This window comes from Homo sapiens, chromosome X (assembly GCF_000001405.40).
Source record: "Homo sapiens chromosome X, GRCh38.p14 Primary Assembly".
NCBI lineage: Eukaryota > Metazoa > Chordata > Mammalia > Primates > Hominidae > Homo > Homo sapiens.
In genome coordinates this window covers 109,654,662-109,676,020 of record NC_000023.11, presented here as the reverse complement: position 1 = coordinate 109,676,020, position 21,359 = coordinate 109,654,662, and the positions used below count along the sequence as shown (strand labels likewise).

General features: G+C 38.7%; 1 protein-coding gene across 11 annotated transcripts in view; it reads left to right on the top strand.

Annotated features, from left to right (window-relative positions):
* ACSL4 (acyl-CoA synthetase long chain family member 4) overlaps positions 1 to 21,359 on the top strand; it is a 91,923-nt gene that overhangs the window by 57,237 nt on the left and 13,327 nt on the right. For all 11 annotated transcript variants that reach the window (NM_001437252.1, NM_001437251.1, NM_001437247.1 and 8 more), the window contains 7 exons: positions 1,548 to 1,619; positions 6,848 to 6,987; positions 7,748 to 7,920; positions 10,527 to 10,601; positions 12,619 to 12,810; positions 14,376 to 14,490; positions 16,510 to 16,667. In NM_001437252.1, coding sequence (NP_001424181.1) covers positions 1,548 to 1,619; positions 6,848 to 6,987; positions 7,748 to 7,920; positions 10,527 to 10,601; positions 12,619 to 12,810; positions 14,376 to 14,490; positions 16,510 to 16,667 — 925 coding nt within the window. The remainder of the gene's footprint in view (positions 1 to 1,547; positions 1,620 to 6,847; positions 6,988 to 7,747; positions 7,921 to 10,526; positions 10,602 to 12,618; positions 12,811 to 14,375; positions 14,491 to 16,509; positions 16,668 to 21,359) is intronic.

Below are 21,359 nucleotides of genomic sequence, written 5' to 3'. Positions count from 1 at the left end.
TGTTCCAAACAACTCCTAGCTTTGTACTTTAAGAAACACAATCTTTGTATGACAGGGTGCTGCTGTGTTTGACTATACCACTCAGCTATAAATTCACACTTAAAATCTGCTAGAATAGTAATGGTATGAATAAATACACTATCCGATTGATAGCAGAACTTGACCTGGTGAAATCAAAGTAGACCTATCAATAAGACTAAGGCTTAAACTCTAAAACAAATTTAGTAAAATCTCTGATCATTATGTTTTGTTGTCATGGGTTTTTCTTATGCTCAGAGACATTATCAAAATGTAGAAAACATTTCAGTAAACTTTGAGTATAATTTTTTTTTCCCTTTGTGAATTTGGAAGCCAGGACTAGCCGTTCTTTGATTTTTCACTGCCTTTCTGAGAACAATAGCCTCAGTGTGGGAAAGGAGGGACAGTTGGAGTCTGTTGCTGGTCTGACTTAATTCTTGCTGTCTCTTAGGCTAAGCTAGTACATTAGAAGCCTGTTCAGTAAAATTCACACCTACTTTTTAAATGAACTTTACTGTAAAGACTCTCAATCTTACTAGGAATCTAAAACACTGGAACTTGCTTCACATAGGAAATCAGAAGGATGCAGGAGACTAGAAGCACCACATTTGGAGCCAACTGATGATAGCAATATTGTCATAACCAGGATTACTATGATCACAAGAAGACAAAATAACTGATAAAATTACTAAGAGTAAAAAAAACAAAGAAGGGCTTCTTGTGGCTTCTGCTATCCTGGAACTGCTCTCTGTAGCAAGAGCTGGTCAGTAGCATGCAGAGGGCAACTCCGACCTGAAGGACATGAGAGCCCATTTTGTTTCTGCAGAGCAGCCCTCCTGTGTGTGGTGTACATGGTTTCTGTGTAGGTTTCCACTTGCAAATGTGCACATCCTTGCACATATGTAAAATGAGTTATTTTATCTCCTTTATCCATATTAAAGAAAAGTAGGAGAAAGGCAACTTAGTTCTATCGGGAGAACCATCCTCTATATGGCCATTTGTGCACATTTATGTGTATCTCTACTTTGTCCCTGGCAGTGTTCTCAGTATCTTACCAACTAGAATATTACCAAATTAGAGTTTCAGTATGATGTTAATTGATGTTCATAGTGGTGTCTTCAGGATGTGGCTTTGCCTATTGTTAATCAAAGAAAGTTAAAATCACCTTCAATTTTGTTTTAGTGTTATATCTGTCTTAATCAAGTTTTTTTGAAAATGTAGTAATAGTCTGTGCTATATTTGATAGTATGTTATTAATAAGAATGTTTGATTCATCACAATGTCATTCTCTTGTTATCCTGGATCAAGGTTTCTCCTCTAAGGAAGGTGAAATGTGCTAGAAGCAGTTATCTGTAGCACTAAAATACTTACATTTGAGACTTGTAGGTTATGATAGTTGTTAACAGATAATCACAGAGCAATAAAAGCTCAAATTCCAAGTGTAACTTCTGTATTTGTTATTAATACTTGAATTACAACATGTTTTAAGGTTGGTTTTCCTGATCATATTTATTTTTTCTTTAATATAGTCCAGCAAAATTAAAAAAGGAAGCAAAGGAGACTGTACTGTACTGAAGCCCACACTTATGGCTGCTGTTCCGGTGAGTACAGAATATGAATATGAACATAAGAGGATTGTTTATATAATTTATTGATCGTACTTGGACCTTTTAAAAAGTAATACTCTTAGATATGTCTACATTTTAAAATAATTTTACCTTGTTGAAATCACAGCAAATGTGTTCATTAAAATCTTAGGTACCATACTAGGGAAGACAAAATGGCAAGATTTTGAAATGCACGCCTGTTTGAGTTTGCTGATACATGAAAATTAGGTGATGAAAATGACCTAGTTCAGGTTACCTACTGTGAGAATTGGTCAGACCGTTTTAAGGTAGAATATATTCTAAAGATCATCTTGTTTAATCTCTTAATTAAAAAAATGAGGAAACTTTAGGCCATCCTAGGGAGCTGAAGAATCGTATACAAGGTCAAGGATCTAAGCCCTCCCAACTCTCTTATGGTGATTAAGTAAACTGAAAATTGGAGAGAGCTCCCAAAGGAAAAAAGTTTAATTCTATATATTCGGAATCTTCATGTGAAATACTGCCTTAAAAAAAAAAGATGTTACATTTTATAGCCTTGTAATGATGAATTTTGAAACATTTAACACCATGTTTCAGATTTGTGTAATCAAATATGTTCTAGCTTTTTTTATGCTTCAGAAACTTCAGAAAGACTATGTATCACTACTGCTTATATTATGATCAGACTTGAAATCTTACCCCAATATCTTTCACAGAATTACTTTTGTATATGGAAACTCTGAGATTAGATAAGAAAGTGTTCAGTCCAAGTTGTTCTGAGAATTACAGATGGAAGATACTTTATGGTCCTTTTAGCTTCTAATTGCAAAATTACCAAATAACAAAGAAGTAGAATAGGTCAGAGAAGACTTTGCCTTTTTATTTAGAGGTTCTGTGTAATTCATAAAGTTTTCAAACAGAAAGAAGAGGCATCTGACTAAAACCATAAAAAAGTTGCTAATAATAGCTAGTGCAGTGCTTCCTATGTGCTAGGTAGGCACTGTGCAAAATGCCTTAGATAAATTATCTCACTTAATTCTAAGACTGCAAGGTGGGCCCTGTTACTCTATCTTATAAAGAAGGAAAGTTGCCCCAAAGCCACACAGCTCATAGGTGATGGAATCAAAGTTTGAACTCTACCAATCTGATACTGGTGGAGTATCAGTCTATCAGTCTTCTTAACCACTATGGCTGTCTATTTAGGACTGTTTCACATTCAGAATTCCCTAGCAAACCTTATCAGATAACATAGGAAGAGGTAAGAGCTGAGGTGTTAAAGAAGTAATCTCCGATTTTAGGCCTGAAGGATAAGCACAGTTAGCACATAGGCTCCTTATCCTCTAATTGCCCATTGTCCATTCTTCCCTGCTTTACTTTGTGTCTTGAGGGGCTATGTTCTGTGCACGAATTACCAGTGCATCCTTGCCTTATGACTTCTGGTTGGGTTCAGCCAATTGGAGGGCCTCATGAGAGATCAGAGGGCAGAAAGATAGAGAGTCTGCACACTTATTACCTTTGCTCCTTTCCTGCTGGGCTGCAAATTTTAGCAGCTGTCAGGAGACCCTGTTGGATAGTCTCCTTCCCGTTGGTTGTAACCAGGTCTTTCCCATGGCTAGAGTCCTCATCCAGGTTCCAATGACACTTGTCTTATGTCTTGCGGCCTCGAGATAGTAATGTTCCCTATGTTGCTAGTCCATTGGCACCTCATCAAATATTATTGGGTTTCCTTTTTAGCCCCTCCTGTTTCTCCAGAAATAGGCCATTTAAAAAAAAAACAACTCTTTATTGAGAATTATTTTTGGTAGAGTCTGTTTTTTGAGTTTGTTTCTTTCCTGGGTCAGAATGAAAGATTGATTGAATACTATAACATTCACAGTGAAAATTCAGAATAAGTCACTACTTATCAGCTGTGGCTCCATTGAACATCATGTAATGTTAGGTTGAGATAAAGGGTGACTTAATGTGCTAACAATAAACTCTGCCAATGTGTTACAACTGTATTATGTTCCTTACTCATCAAGGCCTTGCTGATGTCTATGATTAGTATCCAGTGCTGGAAGGAGCAGTAGACATGGTTCTCACACATCTGTCTCATTCCCAAGCCCCTGCCCCCTCTCCCCTCCCCACCCCCATTTTTTTTTTAAGATCTCATATACTTTTTAAGAAGGATGGATATAGGATGCTCAAGTCCTGCTAGGGAATGATGGGGGATTCTGTCACAGATGTAGAGAAATATTTCAGTTATATAATAGTGATTCCTTTTGTGGAAATGGAGAAAACAATATTGTACCATGTTTGAGTGCTATGGTAACTTTTTTTTTTTTTTTTTTTTTTTTTAGTATTTATTGATCATTCTTGGGTGTTTCTCAGAGAGGGGGATTTGGCAGGGTCATAGGACAATAGTGGAGGGAAGGTCAGCAGATAAACATGTGAACAAAGGTCTCTGGTTTTCCTAGGCAGAGGGCCCTGCCGCCTTCCGCAGTGTTTGTGTCCCTGGGTACTTGAGATTAGGGAGTGGTGATGACTGTTAACGAGCATGCTGCCTTCAAGCATCTGTTTAACAAAGCACATCTTGCACCACCCTTAATCCATTTAACCCTTAGTGGACACAGCACATGTTTCAGAGAGCATGGGGTTGGGGGTAAGGTTATAGACTAACAGCATCCCAAGGCAGAAGAATTTTTCTTAGTACAGAACAAAACGGAGTCTCCTATGTCTACTTCTCTCTACACAGACACAGAAACAATCTGATCTCTCTTTCTTTTCCCCACATTTCCCCCTTTTCTATTTGACAAAACCGCCATCGTCATCATGGCCCGTTCTCAATGAGCTATTGGGTACACCTCCCAGATGGGGTGGCGACCTGGCAGAGGGGCTCCTCACCTCCCAGACGGGGCGGCCAGGCAGAGGCGCCCGCCTGCCACCTCCCGGACGGGGTGGCTGGTCGGGCGGGGGCTGCCCCCCACCTCCCGGATGGGGTGGCTGGCCAGGCGGGGGCTGCCCCCCAGCTCCCGGGCGGGGCGGCTGGCCGGGCGGAGGGGCTCCTCACTTCTCAGACGGGGAGGCCGGTCAGAGACGCTCCTCATCTCCCAGACGGGGCGGCGGCGGGGCAGAGACACTCCTCAGTTCCCAGACGGGGTCGCGGCTGGGCAGAGGCGCTCTTCACATCTCAGATGGGGCGGCAGGGCAGAGGTGCTCCCCACATCCCAGAGGATGGGCGGCTGGGCAGAGACACTCCTCACTTCCTAGACAGGATGACGGCCGGGAAGAGGCGCTCCTCACTTCCCAGACTGGGCGGCCGGGCAGAGGGGCTCCTCACATCCCAGACGATGGGCGGCCAGGCAGAGACGCTCCTCACTTCCTAGACGGGGTGGCGGCCGAGCAGAGGCTGCAATCTCGGCACTTTGGGAGGCCAAGGCAGGCGGCTGGGAGGTGGAGGTTGTAGCCAGCCGAGATCACGCCACTGCACTCCAGCCTGGGCAACATTGAGCACTGAGTGAGTGAGACTCCGTCTGCAATCCCAGCACCTCGGGAGGCCGAGGCTGGCAGATCACTCACGGTCAGGAGCTGGAGACCAGCCTGGCCAGCATGGCGAAACCCCGTCTCCACCAAAAAATACGAAAACCAGTCAGGCGTGGCGGCACGCGCCTGCAATCCCAGGCACTCGGCAGGCTGAGGCAGGAGAATCAGGCAGGGAGGTTGCAGTGAGTCGAGATGGCGGCAGTACAGTCCAGCCTCCGCTCGGCATCAGAGGGAGACCGTGCAAAGGGGAAGGGAGAGGGAGAGGGAGAGGAGGGAGAGGAGGGAGAGGGAGAGCTTTTTTTTTTTTTTTGAGACGGAGTCTTGCTCTGTCACCCAGGCTAGAGTGCAGTGGTGTGATGTCGGCTCACTGCAACCTCCACCTCCCGGGTTCAAGCGATTCTCCTGCCTCAGCCTCCCTAGTAGCTGGGATTATAGGCGCCTGCCACCACGCCCGGCTAATTTTTGTATTTTTGGTAGAGACGGGGTTTCACCATCTTGGCCAGGCTGATCTCGAACTCCTGACCTCGCAATCCACCCACCTCAGCCTCCCAAAGTGCTGGAATTACAGGCGTGAGCCACTATGCCCAGCCTGTGGTAACCTTTTTAAGGGATGGTTCTGCTGTCTTCATTTGTGAGTGGCTCTATTCTAATATTGAAAGAACTGCCCATTAAGTTATTCATTATAGCATACCTTAATTTGTACTGATAATTGATATTTTAAGTATTTGGAAACACGTATTTATAAACAGATGTGCTTTATGTAATAATTCTTAATTTGTGTTAAATAATTTCAAGAAAACATCATTTAGTGGTAGTCTGGGCTGTTTGCTGTTTATTTTTTTTTGTTTTGTTTTGTATTAACCTTAGAGTCGGTATATCTTAAACCTGGTCCTACCTCCAGTTTTCCAAGTTTGTGTGAGCAAGAATCGTGTTCTTTGCTTCCGTTAAAATGTAATAGAAATGCTTAAACTATAGATACTTAGGATTTTAAGAAACTAATGCTTTCTGCCATGCTGTAAGAAGGTCACAAAGTTGTAGTAAAAAAAGAGAAAAGCATCATGAATAGATTCAACATAGTCAGGTATTTTGGTACTGTTTGAGAATAAGTGAATATATTGTAACAGAGATTAATTTTTTTTTCTGCGACAGCTGAGTGAATTCTCTAAACTCGAGCTAACATTTCTTAAAAATTTAGATTAACTTGGCTGGGCACGGTGGCTCACGCCTGTAATCCCAACACTTTGGGAGGCCGAGGTGGCGGATCACGAAGTCAGGAGTTCGACACCAGCCTGGCTAACACATTGAAACCTTGTCTCTACTAAAAATACAAAAAATTAGCCGGGTGTGGTGGCAGGCGCCTGTAGTCCCAGCTACTGGGGAGGCTGAGGCAGGAGAATGGGATGAACCCAGGAGGTGGAGCTTGCAGTGAGCCGAGATCCCGCCACTGCACTCCAGCCTGGGCAGCAGAGTGAGACTCCGTCTCAAAAAAAAAAAAAAAAATTTAGATTAACTTAATGTATAGAACTGAAGAAACCCCTATATCTGTCCTTAGTCTTTTTGAAGTAGTGAACAAGTAGTCAGTGAAATTAATTACATAATTAAAGAAACAAATATGTCCATTATGCTAAAGACTTTTACCCAAGATGTTGCAAGTAAGGTATCTTCAACTAAAGACTGTCTCCATTCCTTTCAGATTATTGAATATTTTGTTTAACTTTCAGGAAATCATGGATAGAATTTATAAGAATGTTATGAGCAAAGTCCAAGAGATGAATTATATTCAGAAAACTCTGTTCAAGATAGGGTATGATTACAAATTGGAACAGATCAAAAAGGGATATGATGCACCTCTTTGCAATCTGTAAGTACATTTCATAGGCTCTGTGGTTTGAGCCTTTAAATTTTTTTATGCTTTTAAATCCAGAAGATGAATAAATAAATGGCAAGTTAATTCATTTGAATATCACCACCATGATCATAAGGTTGAAATTCTCTTTTATTCTAAGTCTTATTGTTTATACAGCAAGCAGAGGACTCTGATCTTGGCAATTTAACAAATTTTAATAATTGAGTGTATATTTAAGATTTATTTATAAAATTTAGTTTCATGAAGAAAAACTAAAATAGACTTTTGAATCAAGACACTTGAGCTTAAAAAATGTCATTTCTAACTAAAAAAAGTGACCTCCATTGCATGAAGGTTTCTGATTTATTGTATTCATAAAATAGTGTAGTAAGTATATGAATATAACTTATTTTAAATGTGATGCTGAGGAGTGGGGATGGGGAAGCATTTTTTATTGGAAGTGAGATAAGATAGGTGATTAAATGTTCCAAAGATAATTAAAATTTTTTTACCTCTGATGTCTGTTTTCTTTCATTTACTTGTGTCAGCATAGTTTCCCGATGCTACACATTATCTTTCTTCATTTTTAAAGAGTTTTTTCTGGCATTTTTACAAGGCGTTACTAGTTGTTGCCTTGTTAACCTCTCATTCTCACCGTGATTCTGACATTGAGATGTTCAACCAGTTGAGGAATCTTTCCCAGAGCTTATAAATTAGTGTGTTGCCAAGAATAATGTATGCGTACATTAAAATCATTTATCCTCCCTTTATTAAGGTTACTGTTTAAAAAGGTCAAGGCCCTGCTGGGAGGGAATGTCCGCATGATGCTGTCTGGAGGGGCCCCGCTATCTCCTCAGACACACCGATTCATGAATGTCTGCTTCTGCTGCCCAATTGGCCAGGGTTATGGACTGACAGAATCATGTGGTGCTGGGACAGTTACTGAAGGTAAGCATTATTAATGTGGTAAATATTCTGTATCAGCTGCTACTAATAAAATACATTCGCATTACCTTTGGAAACCATGGTAACTTTAAAATACCTCTTAACTAATATCAGATTCATTGCAAATCAGTGTAGTTTTGGTTTATGAATTCTTAATTATAAGTATCATGTGGACCCTTTCATTTTAAGCCTTATAATTTTTTTTTTTTTTGAGATGGAGTTTCACTCTTGTTGCCCAGGCTGGAGTGCAATAGCATAATCTCAGCTCACTGCAACCTCCACCTCCTGGGTTCAAACAATTCTCCTGCCTCAGCCTCCCAAGTAGCTGGGATTACAGGCGTGTGCCACCATGCCCAGCTAATTTTTGTATTTTTAGATGGGGTTTCACCATGTTGACCAGGCTGGTCTCGAACTCCTGACCTCAGGTGATCTGCCTGCCTCGGCCTCCCAAAGTGCTGGGATTACAGGCGGTGAGCCACCACGCCCGGTCGCCTTATAAATATTTATGCCACACAGTCGGTCCTCAAAATCCTGTCACCCTGGTCCTTTAGTCTTCTTTCTCTAAATGATCACTTCTTTGGAGAACTGTACTATTAAAAATGAAGTATCACTTTTATGCTCCCTCTTAAATCTGTGTTCCTGTCCTAACTTCTTCTTTGGTTTCCCTTTTGTTATTTTCAACAGCCTGAAGCGAGGTTTCCCAACCCTGACACTGTTCAAATTTTGAATCCGATAATTCTTTGTTGTTGAGGGCTGTTGTATGCATTGCAGAATATTTAGTTGCCAAAGCAGATGTTTATGGGCTCACCCCAGCTGTGACAATGAAACATATCCCCAAACATTGCCAGATATCCCCTGGGGGGCAAAATCACTTTAGGTTGAGAAACACTGGGGTATAGGAATTGTTTTTTTGGATAATCTTATTTTCGCTTTAAACTCATTGTGTCCAAAATCAATGCCATTATTCTAAACTGTCTCTCTATTGACAAATTATTTGTTTGTGTCAATGGTGATACCATCCTTAAAGTCATTCCAGGTATCAGCTTTGAAGTCATCTGTTTATTTTAAAATATCTTTAAATGTCATCAGATCATTCCTTCATTAGGTTTCTCCTTTCCCTCCATATCACCTCTGTCGTCCAACTTTTTATTGCTCCATTCTGCTCCGACCTAACAGCCTTTTTATTTTTGAGACAGAGTCTTGCTCTGTTGCCCAGGCTGGAGTGCAGTGGCACAATCTCAGCTCACTGCAACCTCCGCCTCCCGGGTTCAAGCAATTCTCTTCCCTTAGCCTCCTGAGTAGCTGGGACTACAGGCGTGTGCCACCACACCTGACTAATTTTTGTATTTTTAGTAGAAGCGGGGTTTTACCATGTTGGCCAGGCTGGTCTCGAACTCCTGACCTCAGGTGATCCACCCACCTCAGCTTCCCAGAGTATTAGGATTACAGGCGGGAGCCACTGCGCCTGCCCTGACCTAACAGCCTTGTAACAGCTGTGTCTGCCTACATTACATCACTTCTGATTTATCCTGTATCCTTCTATTAGATGCATCCACCTCATCCACTGCTTGATACCTGATGTATCAAATCTAAACACCTCTTTACCTAGCTTTGACATCTTTAATCTGATGCTAGTGTACTTATCCAACATCATTTTCCATTATTCCCCACATATACACAATGCCTGGCTCTTCTCTCCAGACCCACCAGTCTTCTTACTGTTTCTTATGAAGGCATTCTTGGTCTCACCTCTATGTATTTTCTTTTCCCTTCTCTTGGAATGTCCTTTTTGCTTATTGATCACAACCATCTTTTAATGCCCACTTTTCAATAATGTCTTTCCTAACTACTTCATTTTACATTCATTGTTTAAGTCTCTAAGCTACTATTGTGCTTACCTTCAGTGCCCATGCAGTTTAGTATTTAAATGTTCTCTGAATTGTTTCACATGCATTTCTTCCCAGTTCATTTGTAAGGTCATTGAGTGCAGGGTCTCCTTATCTCTCATGTGCTGTTTACATAATGGGCTGTCCATAAATATTTGTTTATTGCTAGCAATAATCACAAATTGCAAATGGATATCATCATCATGATGATGTTTGACAACAGCAGCTAACATCTTTTGAAGGCTTAGCTTGTGCCAAGAAGTGTTAAGCATTGTCCATGTATCATCTCATTTAATCCTCACAGCATATCCCTGTATGAAGTAGGTTTTGTTACTATCTCCATTTCATAGATGAGGAAATGGAGGCTTAGAGAGGCTAAGTTACTTGTCCATGTTACATAGCCAATGAGTGGTAGAGCAGGAATTCCAATCAAAATCTATCTTATGACAAGCTTAGGTAGATAACGGTGGAGCCATCTCTCCTCCTTTAACAGATATTTTGTACTTAATTACATAAAATATAACCATGAAAAGCAAAAATGATGTAACAACAATGGAATCCATTGCACTATTGAAGTGGAGTTGAAATACTGAAAAATGATCACACTTTGCACTCCTTCTTTTGTCATTTTTCTGACTCTGGTTCTAACTCTAATATTCCCAGTGCATTGGTACAAATCTGGAATGTGGTATGCTAATATCTCTGTTACTTTTTCCCTCACAGTAACTGACTATACTACTGGCAGAGTTGGAGCACCTCTTATTTGCTGTGAAATTAAGCTAAAAGACTGGCAAGAAGGTAAGAATTTTATGAAAAGCTCTAGTGATTCAAGATATGCTGAAAACTACTGTCAGCTTTATGACTTTCATTTCTTTAAAGTCTGGGGAAGCAAATAATTCTCTGCTGTTTTGCTGTTGCCTGTCCCCATGCATTCTTTTTCCTCAGTGATATCTTTAGGTTCCCAAGAGGAAAATAAAATCTCTAGAATCTAGGATTAATGATTCTGAACTTGACAATACTTGAAGGTAAAGAGAAAAAAAATTCTTACTGGAGCTTTCTGGGTTTGGAGAAGGTGAGGATCCTTGAAACTTGACTTTACTAGTGAGAATGTTTGGGCTGAGAAACCCCAGATTTTTAGGGGATAGAATGATGGGTTGCACTCATACACACACCAACTTCTTAGATCTTGATCCCAGAAAAGATTTTCATAGTTGAGACTCAACTGTCCAGCTATTTGTATAGTTGAATTTTTATATGTACCTGCACAGACAAGCCACTTAGAAGAAAACTAGAGACATTGATGATCATCCTTTCTATAAATTAGCTGAAGGCAAATATCAACCAGTCTTCTTAATGAAAGATACTAAATATACACAGTAACTACAATAAAGTAGATTGTTAAATAAAACAAATAATTAACAGCCTAGCCATGTCAGATAAAGGAAGAGTAATTAAAATGCTTAAGATTTTAAAAGAGAATATTTACCTTAGGATGGAACACGGACTAAAAATTTAAAGTACAAGTTACCGTGTAGGATGCAACCCTTAGGTTGTCCAAACCCTGAGAAAATGAATACGTTTTTATCTAACATAAACTTTAAGTTTCTAAAGCATTTTTTATTATGTGTGTTATTGTCAGTGCTTTATGAGCAAATGACTATTTCTTTTTTAAAAACACATTTTAAAAAGCCAGTTGCATTCCCAAGAGTTTTACACCTTGGGACTTAGTCTTCCCTTTTTCCATGGTAATGGCATTCCAATTTTACCATGAAAATCTGAAGAAAATAGTTTGTGTGTATGTGTTTTGGACATCAACATCAGAATTATTTTATTAGGTAAGTTTTTAATTGTTAGGCAGTGGAATCAGAGAAATGTTTAAAGGCAAAAATCTCCTTACCAAGTTTTACTATAATTTTTATTTTCTGATTTCCTGGTACTGGGCCTTAATGTCAGTTTTGGGGAGTAGGTCCCTTGTTGAACATGTATTTGGAGTTTTCCTTGCTGTGAAGACTCTTTGGCTTTATACTGTATGAATGATCTCAGTTTTTTTTTAACATACAATGGGTTTTATCATGTTGAAATATTGAATAGTTTTAAGTTTATCAGAGCAGCTAACAGCTGAAAGGAACCCTGATTTTAATCCTTTTATGACACAAAATCTAGTCTATATCTTATTTTGCAAATTTAGATTTTTGTATATTTTCCTTAAAGTAAGCTTCCTTCAGTAATACAGAGGTAATGAGTAGTGATGAAATATATTAGTATTTATTATCAATTAGTTTAGTGTTTGAACTTCTAAAGTCATGACTGGCCACAGGCAAAATTAATACAATTTTCTTCCTGTTTCCCATAGTCCCCCCTTTCCCTCTCACTTTATGATGCTACCATTTTTGGGTACTTACTGCATGTTCTTTTTGGTTAAAACCTCCTTAGAAAAAATTTGAAATGCATTGATATCAGTATGTCAGTAATTTACTTATAACAGCTTCAAGTGTTACTCTTCCTGGGGGTGATTTTATCTTAACAGAACTCTGTGAACACTAAGCTCTAATGGTGTTCTAAGTGTGAAATGTTATGGTATGGGAAGGTTTGAGATGGGTGATTGTTGGTGGTGATTATCATTGAGCCTTTCTTGGTGTTCTTAAAATCACAGTCACCCAGTATCCTCATGTAAATTTTAGTAAATATAAACTAATGTTCTCTCATAAAGTGATATAAAATCTGATCAGCAGAAAAATACTAACATACGTATAAGCTTTAAGAATTAATGAAATTTGTTGTAGAACAATAACTAATTTACTTTTATGATTTCCAGGCGGTTATACAATTAATGACAAGCCAAACCCCAGAGGTGAAATCGTAATTGGTGGACAGAACATCTCCATGGGATATTTTAAAAATGAAGAGAAAACAGCAGAAGATTATTCTGTGGATGAAAATGGACAAAGGTGGTTTTGCACTGGTGATATTGGAGAATTCCATCCCGATGGATGTTTACAGATTATAGGTCAGAATGTTTTCTTTTTATGGTTTTCTTTAGTTTTTATAACTTCAGTATATATGAAAGGTAATATTGATCAGTCATTAATAAAGTTGATGGTTCCATTAGTTCAAACTTTGGACAAGTTATTTAACTTATGTATGAGCTTCTCCATCAGCAAAACAAGGACAATACCAACCTCATAGGGCTGTCGTTAAGATTAAATGAGTTGATATATGTAAAATATTCTAAACAGAGCCTGAACCTTAGCGTAAGTACTAGCAGCACTAGCAACAGCAGCATTGAGTGTAGAGAGAATGGGCAGGGAAATAGCAAACAGGTAATGAGAAAACAAAAAGAGCTCAGAGGACGTCTTTCTTGGTCAACCACATGTGATTTTATATAACTGTTTCCTATAACATACTCTATGCTAGGCCTTCCTCACTCTTCACCTCTCCACCCAAGGGGCAGCATGGGCACATATATTTTTTTTTACTGTTGGCTATTTATATGTGTCTAACGAGGCCTGAACCTTAGAAAATTAATATCAATCCTTAGCACTAGTCAGTTCTGAGAATGTCAGTTACTTTGGCATTGTCCTCATTGAGTCTACTGAAGTGGACCTTTATGTTCAAAAAATGACTCCAAAATGGGCCCTTGTGCTATTCACTTGGATGAGGCAAAAGTTAAAACTTGCTGATGAGAACCCCTCAGCAAGATCCCAGTCAGGTCTTTTTTAAGACATAGAGTTTCCTCACCTATATGTAGTGACTGATTTCAATCCATCGCTGGACCTCACGATATCTGACCTGAATATAGTTAGAGATTTCCTGGGAAAATTGGTTCTTCATCTAGAAATTTGAACCAGGAACCATGGTTCAGTTGAGAAACAATAAGCTTTTTTCCCCCTTGTTCCTTAATTGCACTGGAATCAAAGGTTATTTCTGTAGAGTGGGTTCCCAGGCTACGGGTAGGCAAATCAGCACTCATACTCATTCCAAGGCCATGTGATGATTATTCAAGCTGTGCCATCCTGTGCTAGCACTTTCTTAGAGAACTGTCATTTTAACAAGATAATGTCAAAAGTGGAAAAGGAGAATTAACATGTGTTAAATGTGTTCTATATGCCAGACATTGTGGGATATGTCTGTATGAGGTAGGCATCATTATCCTGATAAAACTTGAGGATTAGAAGGTTAACTGACATGCCGAGGATCACTTAGCTAGTACCAGGCAGAGTTACCATTCAGATAGAATGTTCCAAAGTCCTAGTTCCCTCTATTAAATTGATTATAATATTTAAGATTATAATAAGATGCTAAAGCTTTGGGTTTAAGGTGTAACTTTTAGCCAATACTTACTTAAGTAGGCATTTTATTTTTAACTGGTGTGTATGGGCAACATTATATATATGCAGTTTTTGCCATTTTAAAAGTAATGGCAAAAACCACAATTACTTTTGCACCAACCTAATAATAATTTTAGAAGAAGTAGTTTTGTAAATAACGATTAAGGCAATGATATTCAAAGAAGACAGTCAGAATTGCATATACCTTAGTTAAACAGACTTAACATTCTTTATGACTTAACAGATCGTAAGAAAGATCTAGTGAAGTTACAAGCAGGAGAGTATGTATCTCTTGGGAAAGTAGAAGCTGCACTGAAGAATTGTCCACTTATTGACAACATCTGTGCTTTTGCCAAAAGGTAACTTTCCAAAGTTGTATTTTTTGTTTCGTAAGTCAAAAGATATTTAGAAAATAATGTGATTACATATTATCATAAGGGTAACATAGTCTTCTCTTAGAATTTTCATCAGATCTGGGGAATTGTACATTTATGTAAGTTAGTGAATTCAACAGCTTAAAGATCATTTTAGATAACTCAGACGTGTTAACTATTTATTGGACACCTGCATCTTGCTAAATACTTAGCTATGCAACAAGTTATTTCATTTAACATCCATGACAACTGAGACTTAGTATAAGTAATTTTCCCAAAAATGTAACACAACTACTACATGTTGAGATGAATTTTGAACCCAAGTTTTTCTAAATCAAAAGCCTAAGAGATTGAGCCATTTTCTTTATATGTTGATATGTCTTATTTTTATGGGTTTTATTCTTTTTTAAAAATTGTAATTGTGGTAAAAAGCATATAACGTAAGATTTACCATCTTAACCATTTCTAAATGTACAGTTCAGTAGTGTTGTGTATATTTACATTGGTGTGCAGCCAATCTCCAGACCTTTTTTTCTTGCAAAATGGAAACTCTATACCCATTAAACAGCAACTCCTATTCCTCCTCCCTCCTTCCCCTGGGAACCACCATTCTACTTTCTGTTTCTATGAATTTGACTTCTCTAGAAATCTCACACAAGTAGAATTATACAGTTTTTGCCTTTTTGTGATTGGCTTAATTCCCTTAGTATAATGTCCTCAAGGATTATCCATGTTGTAGCATATGTCAGAATTTCCTTCATTTTGAAGGCTTAACAATATTCCATTGTATCCATATAATGTATTTTGTTTATATATTCATTGTCAGTGCACATTTTGGTTGCCTCCCCCTCTTGGTTGTTGTGAATAATGCTCCTAGGAAAATGCGTATGCAAATATCTCTTTGAGATCCTGCTTTCAATTATGTGGATAGATACCTAGATTTAGAATTGCTGGATCATATGACAGTTCTATTTTTAATTTTTTAAGGAACTGCAATACTGTTTTCCATAGCAACAGCACCATTTTTACATTTCCTACAACAGTACACAAACATTCTAGTTCCTCCACTTCTTCACTAGCACTTGTTTGTTTTATATAGTAGTCATCCTCATGGATGTGAGGGGATATTTTGTTTTAGTTTTGATTTGTATTTTCCTAATGATTAGTGCCACTGAGCACCTTTTCCTATGATTGTTGGCCATTCATATATTATCGCTGGAGAAATGTCTATTCAAGTTCTTTGTTCATTATTTAATTGAGCTATTTGGTTTTTTGTTACTGAGTTGTGGAAATTATATATTCTGTTTATTAACCCCTTATCAGATATATGATTTGCAAATTTTTTTTTTCTATTCCATAGATTGCCTTTTTACTCTGCTGATTGAGTCTTTTGATACACACAAGTTTTTAGTTTTGTTGTAGTCCCAGTTATCTGTTTTTTGCTTTTGTTGCCTTTGCTTTTGGTGTCACACCCAAGAAATATTGCCAAATCTATTCTCATAAAGTGTTTCTTCTGTTTTTTTTTTTCTAGCAGTTTTATAGTTTTATCAGATTGGTGCAAAAGTAATTTTGGTTTTTGCCATTAATGTCAATTACTTTTGCACCGACTTAATAGCTCTTCGATGTTTAGATTTTTGATCCATTTTGAGCTAATTTTTGTATATGTTGTAAGGTGAAGGTCCACCTTCATTCATTGCATGTGGATATCCAGTTTTCCTAGTACCATTTGTTGACGAGACTGTCCTTTCCTCATTGAGTGGTCTTAACACCCTTGTCAAAGATCGTTTCTCCATAGATACAAGGGTTTACTTCTAGTTTCTCTATTCCATTGGTCTATATGTCCTTCTTTATGCTGGTACTATGGGTTTTATCATTTCCTAATGAAACTTTAATAAATAAGAGAAATATATATTTGGAATTATCTGTACTGTACTATGTCATTGACTAGTTTATGAATAACTTTTCTCAATGTTTTCATTTCTATTTTATTTTCTGTTTTTTTAGTGATCAGTCCTATGTGATCAGTTTTGTGGTTCCTAACCAGAAAAGGTTGACACTTTTGGCACAACAGAAAGGGGTAGAAGGAACTTGGGTTGATATCTGCAATAATCCTGCTATGGAAGCTGAAATACTGAAAGAAATTCGAGAAGCTGCAAATGCCAGTAAGTAAGAAATTGCTAGACTGGTATAGTCCCTAAAAGTCATCTAATGATGTCTTTTGCATTAGGCTCTTCAATATGTTTGCTTTAATAATAAAATACAGGATTTTAAGAAACCTATTTCTTAAATATGTATAATGGATTTCCATGTTGGAAGGATCCTTCAATGTCATATAGTAGAATAACCTATGTAGTTCTTTATTGCATGTTTCAACATCTTTCCCAAAGTGGTCATCTAGCCTGTGTTTGGAATGGTCCATCTTTGGGTAGATCTGTTATATAAATCTACTTTGTGTCTGTAAAGCAGAAATTAGTAACTCTAAGTTTAGTAAATAGTGTTATAACCATGATTATGCTTTGTGTGTATACTGTGGCTCTGTAAATGGACTATCTTCAGATGGTACATTAATAACCAATTGGAGAAAATCTGCTTATATAGTATATGCCAGGAATTGTGTTACACACTAGGAATACAGAAAGTAGTAAGACTCATTTCTTGCTCTCATGTAGTTCATTATCAGGTGAGAGGGGCACATGAGAGAGACAACAATCTTAACAGCAATAGAGAGATGAACAGAGAATCATGGTACCACAGATGAGGGTACCTAACCTACTTGGGAGGACATGGAAGAGATGTCACTTCAGCTCATCCTTAAGGGTTAATTAGAAGTTAACTAGGTTGGGCATTCTAGGCCAAGAAGCAACATGAGAAAGGCAAATAGGTATGAAAAGGATGATGTGTGCAGGGAACTACAAGGGAGTCTGGTGTTACCGGTACAGTGCAAAGTATGAGGTAAGGCTGTAGAGGTTAGCAGAGGCCAAGTTGTGTAGTACCTTCTATGCTTGTTCAGAAATTTGGATGTAATCCTGTAGACAGTGAGGAGCCATTGGCAGGTTTTACTAGGTTAGTGATGTGGTCAGGTTTGCATTTTGGAGAGATGCAGTCACTCTGGAGGCCATGCTGCAGATGAATTTGAGGGGGACTGGACTGAGGCAGAAGGCCAGTTGAAGAGGACTGTAGGAGATACCTAGACTGGGGGGTGGTGAGTAATGAGGGCGTGAAGCAGGGAATCAGGAAATGTTTATGAAGCAAAATTGGCACACTTCAGTGATTAATTGGATAACATAGATAAGGGAAAAGAGGAGTCTAGGATAGCCCCCAGATTTGTAGCTGAAGCGACAAGGTAAATACTACTACTGATTGAGCTAGAAAATACAAGAGGAAGAGCTGGCATATACAAGAAGATGATGAGGTCAGTATGGGATACATGTAGTTTGAAACACGTTTTGACAACCCCATCAAAAAGTGGGCAAAGAATATGAACAGACACTTCTCAAAAGAAGACATTTATGCAGCCAACAGACACATGAAAAAATGCTCATCATCACTGGCCATCAGAGAAATGCAAATCAAAACCACAATGAGATGCCATCTCACACCAGTTAGAATGGCAATCATTAAAAAGTCAGGGAACAACAGGTGCTGGAGAGGATATGGAGAAATAGGAACACTTTTACACTGTTGGTGGGACTGTAAACTAGTTCGACCATTGTGGAAGACACTGTGGTGATTCCTCAAGGATCTAGAACTAGAAATACCATTTGACCCAGCCATCCCATTACTGGGTATATACCCAAAGGATTATAAATAATGCTGCTGTAAAGACACATGCACACATATGTTTATTGCAGCACTATTCACAAGAGCAAAGACTTGGAACCAACCCAGATATCCATCAATAATAGACTGGATTAAGAAAATGTGGCACATATACACCATGGAATACTATGCAGCCATAAAAAAGGATGAGTTCATGTCCTTTGTAGGGACATGGATGAAGCTGGAAACCATCATTCTCAGCAAACTATCGCAAGGACAAAAAACCAAACACCGCATATTCTCACTCATAGGTGGGAATTGAACAACGAGAACACTTGGACACAGGAAGGGGAACATCACACACTGGGGCCTGTTGTGGGGTGGGGGGACGGGGGAGGGATAGCATTAGGAGATATACCTAATGTTAAATGATGAGGATTAATGGGTGCAGCACACCAACATGGCACATGTATACATATGTAACAAACCTGCATGTTGTGCACATGTACCCTAGAACTTAAAGTATAAAAAAATAAAAATAAAAAACACGTTTTGGATAATCAAAGTTAAAATGTCCAGCAGGCGGTTGTGTGTAGTCCAAATCTTATTGGGAGAGGCCTGGACTCTGCTATAGACTCGGGGATAATTGAAACCACGAAAGTAGATGGGCCAACCTTGGGTGAGATTGTAAAGGGAGAACAGGAGGCTGTGGATGGGTCTCTGGATAACACCAGCATATAAGGAATGGATGAAGAAAGAGATGTGTGTGGGAAGCATGATTGGCAAGATGCCAGGAGAGCAATGCCCATGCAGACCACTGCTAAGAGAGTTTCAGGAAAGAGAGTAATCAACAGTTTTACATTAGCAGAAAGGACTGACAAAGCTTATTGGAACATTGATTGGAAAATTAAAGAGATTAAAAATTAATGCTCAAGTTCAATAGTAGGCTTTTTTTTTTTCTTTTTTCCCAACGAGGGATTCCATGTGGGTGGCTGATTTTATAACCTTTTTTTAAGTTTCAGTTTTATCAGTATAACAAGTATATATAGTTTAAAAAATGTCAGTATTAAGGACTTGCAACAAAAAGCAGCCCATATTGTATCCCTCTTTTCCCCAAGTCTCATCTGTCTTCAACTTTAGTTGTTTTTTTAAAGTTTCTGGCATTCGTCTCCATTTTTCTAAAGAAAATGGTTATGTTGCTCCTTCTTGAATTTTTCATTTGCGATGTTATGGACTTTTATGGACCTCTAACCATAGAAGATGATTTACCTTTCTTATGACCATTCTCCTTGCCTTCCCTACCACACTTTTTCTTTTCCAATAGATAGTACAATTTGCATTTTACACCCAGGTTTCCGTTATGATTATGAAAATATTCACAGCTGAACTACATAGTGTTTTATGATTATATTTCCTTTCTTGGACAATTTTTTGTGTTTCCCTGGATCTTAAAATTTCCTCTCTTCATTAGTTTTTTGTATACTATTCTTAACTCTTCCACTAAACTCTGTTAAAATTGTAAAAATTCTCCCTAATACAGGAAAGGATAGCATGTCTGTATTTTTGTTCTCGGAGACATACTTCTTAGAGCCCTTTATCCTCATGCTGAAATTTAGACTATTTGCTTCCAAAGGCTTCCCTTTACTATCATCCTGGGAATTTCCTTTGCTTCTCTCCTATGTTGGATCCTGTTTCCTGGATCTCATATCTGTCTCTTTCCTGGTTTACTCGCCGGTTTGGGTAGAGCACATCCTTCAGCAGCTTCCTGAGAAAGGTGCATGGGAGGTAAATTTTTGAGACTGTGCTTGCGTGTCTGAATATGTTTTTATTCTGTCCTCACCCTTGAGATGTGTCTTGGCATATTTTAGAGTGATAAATTCTAAATCATTTTTCCTGAATACTTTGCAGACTTGGCTTTGTTGTCTTCCAGCTCCAGTGTTGCATCCTGATTCCCATTCCTTTGTGTATGATCTATTTTATCTCTCCTAGCTTTCAGAGTCATTATGTTAATTTCTGGTGTTTTGATAGTTCATAATGATGTATCTTAGTGTGGGTCTTTGATCATTTATCATTGTGCATACTTGCTGTGGGCCCTTTCCATATGGAGATCTCTGCCCTTCAGTTCTGGGAAATGTTAATTTATCTTTTGTTTGTTCATTTGTTTTTTTCCCCATAATTCCCCCCACCCTGTGTGTCTGTTTCTGAGACTACTTTTATATGGCTGTTGGACTTCCAGCTTTCATCCTCTAATTTTATTATCCTTTTTAAAATTTTCTATTTCTCTTTTTGTTTTATATTCTGGCAGAGTCTCTCAACTTTATCATCTCTTCTGTCTACTGAATTTCCAATTTCCACTATCAGAATTTTAATTTTCAAGAGCTTGTTCCTGTCCTCTCAGTGTTCCTTTTAATAGCACCCTGTTGCTCTTTCATGGATGCAGTCAATGCATTGTCTCTTATTCCTCTGAGGATATTAAAAGGAATCCTTTTTATGTAGTTTTCTTCTCCTGTTATTGTCTCTTTTACCTCCAAGTTGCACTTTATGCTTGCCTTGGTCATTGAGTCCCAAGTGTCTGCTGATCCTTGTATGTCCATATTCAGGAACCAGGTACTAAAAAACTGTTTGGAAAGCTTACTGGGCTTCACTGAAAAGGCATTCCAACGTTAGTGTCTTTTTCTCTTAAGTCATTCTGTTTCTCCAAAGGAGATTTCTCCAGTCTTTTGCCCGGGCAATATTAGCCTGACTGCCAGAATTCTGGTAGCCAAAAGAGGTAAAGGAGTTATTGAGGGGGATGGGAGAGCAGTGGGTCTCACCCTCACTGAATCCTTCTCTTTTCAGCCTTACTCCCTCCTTCTGTTGTACCTAATGTCCATGAGTCCCGAGTCTCTGCTTCAGTTTTTCCAAAAAGTAGACCTGCCTACAAATGGCTTTGAGAAGAGCAGCATAGGGTGCGGGAGAACTTTTCTCTAAACAGGCTGGAGACCAGTGCTGCTCTTTCCAGCTTTACCCCTCATCTCTTATCTTCAGAGGCACAGGCTTAGTGGGCACTTGCCCGGGCTCTACTATGAGGGCAGTTTGCTGCTTGTTGGCAACCT